Genomic DNA, 5,798 nt, shown 5'->3' on the forward strand with positions numbered 1-5,798 from the left:
ATTTCTGGCATCTCACTGAACTGAAGTACATAGTTTAATGGTTTTTAGTGTATTCACAAATATGTGCAAACTATCACCCCATAATCAATGATAAAGCATTTTCATCACCTCAAAAGAAACCTCATACCCATCAGCAGTGACTAATCAGTCCTGCCAGTCTTAGGAAACCACTTATCTACTTTCTGTCCCTATACTTTGCCTTTTCTGGACATTCATATAAATGGAATCATACAATATATGGTCTTTTGTAACTAGTTTTTTCATTCAGCATAATGTTTTCAAGTTTCATCTATGTTGTAGCATGTATCAGAACTTCATTCTTTTTTTTTTTGAGATGGAGTTTCACTCTTGTTGCCTAGGCTTGAGTGCAAGGGTGAGATCTTGGCTCACTGCAATCTCCACCTCCCGGGTTCAAGTGATTCCCCTGCCTCAGCCTCCTGAGTAGCTGGGATTACCGGTGCCCGCTACCACATCCGGCTAATTTTTATATTTTTAGTAGAGACGGGGTTTAGCCATGTTGGCCAGGCTGGTCTTGAACTCCTGACCTCAGGTGATCCACCTGCCTCAGCCTCCCAAAGTGCTGGGATTACAGGTGTGAGCCACCACATCCGGCCCAGAACTTCAGTTTTAATGGCCAAATAATATTCTATTATGTGGATATATAACATTTTATTTATCTATTTGGTAGTAGTCTTTTTTTTTTTGAGACAGGGGCTCCCTCTGTCACCCAGACTAGAGAGCAGCATAAACACCACTTACTGCAGCCTCGACCTCCCAGGCTTAGGTGATCCTCTCACCTTAGCCTCTGAGTAGCTGGGACTACAGGCATGCACCACAGTGCCCAGCTAATTTTTGAATTTTTTGTGGAGATGGAGTTTCACCATGTTGTTCAGGCCGGTCTTGAAACCCTGGGCTCAAGCAATCTGCCCACCTTGGTCTCCCAAAGTGCTGGTGACTAGAGGTGTGAGCACCATACCTGACTCTTTTCAGTAGTTGATGGACATTTATGTTGTTTCTATTTTTTTTTGGCCAATGCTGCTATAAACATTTGTTTACAAGTTTTCTATGGACATTTTCAATTCTCTCCATGTATATTTAGGAGTGGAATTGCTGGGTCTTTTGGTAACATTGTCTCTACCTTCTCTAATGACTAATGATGTTGAACATCTTTTCATGAAATTATTGGATATTTGTATATATCTAATATATATACAAATACACACACACACACACACACACACACACACACACACACGTGTTTTTTTTTTTTTTGAGACAGTCTTGCTCTGTTGCCCGGGCTGGAGTGCAGTGGCACAATCTCAGCTAGCTATAACCTCCACCTCCTGAGTTCAAGCAACTCTCATAACTCAGCCTCCCAAGCAGCTGAGATTACAGGCGTGTGGTACTGCATCCAGCTAATTTTTGTATTTTGTTTTTAGTAGAGACAGGGTTTCGCCATGTTGGCCAGGCTGGTCTTGAACTCCTGGCCTCAAGTGATCTGCATTCCTCATCCTCCCAAAGTACTGGGATTACAGGCATGAGCCACCACACCTGGCATCTTTTTTAAAGAGAAAACTATTCAGAACTAATTGTTTTAATTGGGTTTCCATATATCTTTTTATTAGTGAGCTGTAAGAGTTCTTTATGTATATTCTAGATACCTAATTTGCAAATATTATCCCATTCTGTGGGTTGTATTTTCTACCTGAATTCTTAAAAATCACTGAATATAGTTGATTCTTCCTTCAAATTCTAGATACATTTTCCCCACGTTTTCTGTTGCAATATCATCAACTCTCAGCCCCGTAATTTTTCTCCCAGTTTTTTTTTGACTCCTTCTTTGTACTCATTGCCAATCTTTTTTGAAACTTTAAATGTTGTATGACCTCAGAGCTTTGTACCTATATTATTTCTCATGCTACACACTCTCTCTAGGTGTTCTCACCCACATTCAAACCTTCAAATAGACTAATATTTTCCCAGTTTTCACTTTTATGTTAGATTCTCTTGAGTCTCAACTTATAGCCAAATGCCTTCTCTGTAATTCTACTTGGATGTCTTATTGCAATTTAAAAACCAGCATATCCAAAATTGAATTCTTAGTTTTCCATTGCAAACTTACTTCTTTATCAGTATAGCCATCTTTGCCATTTTAATAGCTCTGTGACCTTCAATAAATCTTTAATTTCTCTAGGTCTCCAAAATGTAGAAAATAGTTCTTATCTCCTAGGTTTTCATGAGGAGTCAATGAGTTAATATATGGAGGGTGCTTAGAGTAGTACCTGGTGCGTAATAAGCAGTACGTAATTGATGGCTATTATTGTCTCACTAATAACCATCAACTCAGTTATACCTGCCCAAAGTCTGGTTGTTATGCCTGATACTTCTGTCTCCTTTGATCACTTAACCAACCAACCAGAGTGACACATTCTACCTTCTGGGACCAGTCTGTCTCACCCTGCCTTCCCTGCCAATAATCTGATCAGCATTTCCAGTTTCTTGCCCTCTCCGAAATAGCTTCCACATTTGTGTGTTACTATTCACTTGTAGCCCTCTCCAAGCCATTCTCCCCCCAGCTCCTACAGCAGCACTTCTCCAACTTGAGTCATATATGGACCACATTTAGAGAAGGAATTCTTGAGGAACACAGTTTGAAATACACTGTCTTAAGACTTTTAATCCAAGACAATGGAAGTTTTGAATTTTCTTTTGCAACAGAGATATGTTGTTATTGTGCTGATGTTTTTAAAAAATATTTTAAAATCCTCATTCCTGGTTAAATCCTTGAAGCCTTCCACTGCATTTCAAATAAAACTCCAGACTTGAAATGTGATCTCTAAGAACAAGTACTTTCTGGCCATTTGTTAGCCACTTTCTTGACATTCTGTACTTTCGTTTGCAGCACTTATGAAAATAGCAATTAATTTTTGCAGAATTATTTCTTAACTGTGTGTATTTAATGTTTGTTTCCCTGCCTGACTGTGAACTCCTCAAAGGCAGCGATACACCTTTCTCGTTCACTATTGTGTCCTCCACGCTACCATAAAAAATGCCTATGATGTAAGAGGTTATCAAAATGTTTGCTGAAAGGAACCTCAGATCCTTAAGCCAAATGACAAATTAATAACACATACCGGTAGATAATCTCATTGGATAAATATTAGAAGGTTTTACAGGAGCAAACTAGGAAAAAAGTAAATGATAGAGGGGCCTTCCATGGAAATCAGGAGTGCCGTGGGGATGTAAACATCTGGGGTTAAAGTCAAAGTGACCCAAGCATTAAGTATGTTGTTGACATTTACCCAGAATTCCTTTATCTCATCAAGCAGATCCACTTTGAAATAATCAATATCTTTCGTTTCACTTCTCTCCATGCTAAGTAAGAGTTACGTAATTCTGATTATTTGCTTGACTTACTGAAGGCGAACATTGATGAGTGACCTAAGCACAAAGATGTTTAGTGAAACTCAGGTCCTTTCAGGCTTATTGGCAAAGCAAAACAAGTCCCTAAGAGGGTTCCCAAGGAAATCAGTAGATCTCTCCCAAGACAAGTTATTAGGGTAGTGCAAAACTGATCGCGATTTTTGCCATTAAAAGTCATTGCAAATTAAAAGTAATGGCAAAAACCGAGATTACTTTTGCACAAAACTAATACTTTGTGTGGAGGACAAACGGCCCCAAGTCTGCTCCCACCTCACATGCATGGGGACTGGAGCAAGGGTACAAGTGGAGGCACATATCATGTATATTTACATAAAAGCTTTAAATGAAGAAACTGTTAAGATATGTTATGTCTCCTATTTTGACAAACTGACTTTCATAATGCAATAGAAAGATAGACTTTAGTCTACAATTCTCAGAGTCTAGAATCTCTAGAATTTCACATTGGAACACTGCAATGTGGTGAGAGCCACCATCTATCTCCACTGTACTACCATCCCCTGCCCATGGCCCATGGCCAAATCCTTCCTCTTGCTAACCCCACTCTGATCTGCATTGTAGGGGGCCTCAAGTGCACGTGTGTGGACACTCCAGGTGTTGTGTCCAAGCTCCGTCCATATTTCCAGCAGACAACTGCCTCTTGGCCACCATTAGGCCCAGGGCTATATACACCTGAGAGAACTGACTCAGGGAAGGGGCTCAAGCAGCCCTTGGATGTTAAGTTCAAGGCCATTTGGGCAGGAAATTATGAAGGCTTGGGAATTGGATGGCATGTTCCTTTGTTTCAACACATTTCTTGTGCCCAGAGAAGAACATGATGGAGAAGTTCAGAGCGATACCCTCTAATGCATGGGTCCCTGAGCAGAGGCTCTTCCTTCCCAGATCTGAGGGTGATTCAAAGTGGTATGGTAGCAAACTGAATTATTCCATCTCTTTTTCTGTTATAATATGTGGGTGTGTAGAAGAAGTTAATATGGGAGGTAGATGTGACATGTTTCATTGGGTGAAGGAATTTTTATTTTATTTTTTATATCTCTTATGGGAAGGCTTTGTTTAGACTACTGATTCTGGAACTTGGCCCAATGTCATGCTAGTTGGACTGGTCTCTGTTTTCTTTTAGGTCATTCCAGATTCTCAAAAGATAATGACTAGTGGCACAGATAACATACATATTTTGCAAAGTTTATATTATAGATGTTGGAAGTCTCAGGAGATTATATGATGAGAAATAGGATTTGGATTCATTGTTTTATTCCTTATTGATCCATCAAAGATGTCATTTAATGAGTAGCCCCAGGCACATTTGGTTTATTATTTAAAATTATGATGTTACATTTCAGGTCAAAGGATGCTGAGAATTTATAATGTTGATGTTTTAAAAAGGATCTAATATAAAACAGATATAAATAAAATGAAAATAACTGAAAAAGAATTGGAGATCTGCCTCCCTCCTCCTTCATCAGCAGCCCTGAGGACTTCTGCTTAGAGTTTCTCAAAGTGTGAGCCTCCAGGAGTCACCTGGGGGCAGTTGTTTAAAAATGCAGATTCCTGGGTCTTGCCCCACTGAGTTAGACTGTGAGAATTTGCATGTTTGACAAGACCCTGCAGTGACTCATATGCATTCTTACATTTCCAGCTACAATAGATCTCAATGGACTAGATTGGGGTTAGAATACACATATTTTTAAATGGTGTTCCAGATAATTTTGAAAATTAATCTAAAATTTGGGAGCCATTGAAATAAATACTTTCTAAAGTGAACATGCCTGAGGCACAATCTCAAAGTATGATCCTGGGGTCAGCAGCATCAGCAGCACCTGGAAACTTTCAGCAATGTAAATTCTTGGCCCTTCCATTCCCAGCCCTGAATAAGAATTTCCTGAACACAGTTCAGCTATCGGTGTATTAACAAGTGCTGCAGGTGTTTTTGATGCTGCTAAAGTTTGAAAATCATTTCCCAACAATTCAATAAACATGCATTGACCTTCTGTGAACATTCTGTTCTAGGAACTTTGGAGGGCCTGAAGAAGTCACAGTTCTCAAAGATTTGTCAATGGGACTTTATTTGCAGCCTGATTTTGGTTCTGGAGTGATCAAGAGAATGTCAAGTTTCAGCAGGGAGAAAAAATTATTTCTGTGAATATAAAAATAGTGGTTTTTATAAAGAGTTTTAATTTTGTTCTTTATACTTTCTGTATTTTCCAAACATTAAGCAACTTAAATTGGCAAAAACAATACATTCCTGGAAAATATAAGCCATTGGCAAAAAGTGATTTGTAAATGTAGTCAGCTGGGTGTGGCAGCGGGTATAAAAGTATCAAAAGCAGGGCAGCCGCTTCCAATTTCCTGAATTTTTC

At 39.2% G+C, this 5,798-nt stretch overlaps 2 annotated features.

Annotated features, from left to right (window-relative positions):
- Positions 20-220: a silencer, noted in NCBI's record as "peak1283 fragment used in MPRA reporter construct". NCBI's record gives its function as "represses an SCP1 promoter by STARR-seq MPRAs in K562 erythroleukemia cells {active_cell/tissue: K562}" and the evidence as "EXISTENCE:reporter gene assay evidence [ECO:0000049][PMID:32103011]".
- Positions 3,857-4,057: a silencer, noted in NCBI's record as "fragment chr11:59644313-59644513 (GRCh37/hg19 assembly coordinates)". NCBI's record gives its function as "represses an EF-1alpha promoter that drives an FKBP-Casp9 reporter gene in an ReSE screen in HepG2 liver carcinoma cells {active_cell/tissue: HepG2}" and the evidence as "EXISTENCE:reporter gene assay evidence [ECO:0000049][PMID:32094911]".

This window comes from Homo sapiens, chromosome 11 (assembly GCF_000001405.40).
Source record: "Homo sapiens chromosome 11, GRCh38.p14 Primary Assembly".
In the NCBI taxonomy this organism is placed as follows: domain Eukaryota; kingdom Metazoa; phylum Chordata; class Mammalia; order Primates; family Hominidae; genus Homo; species Homo sapiens.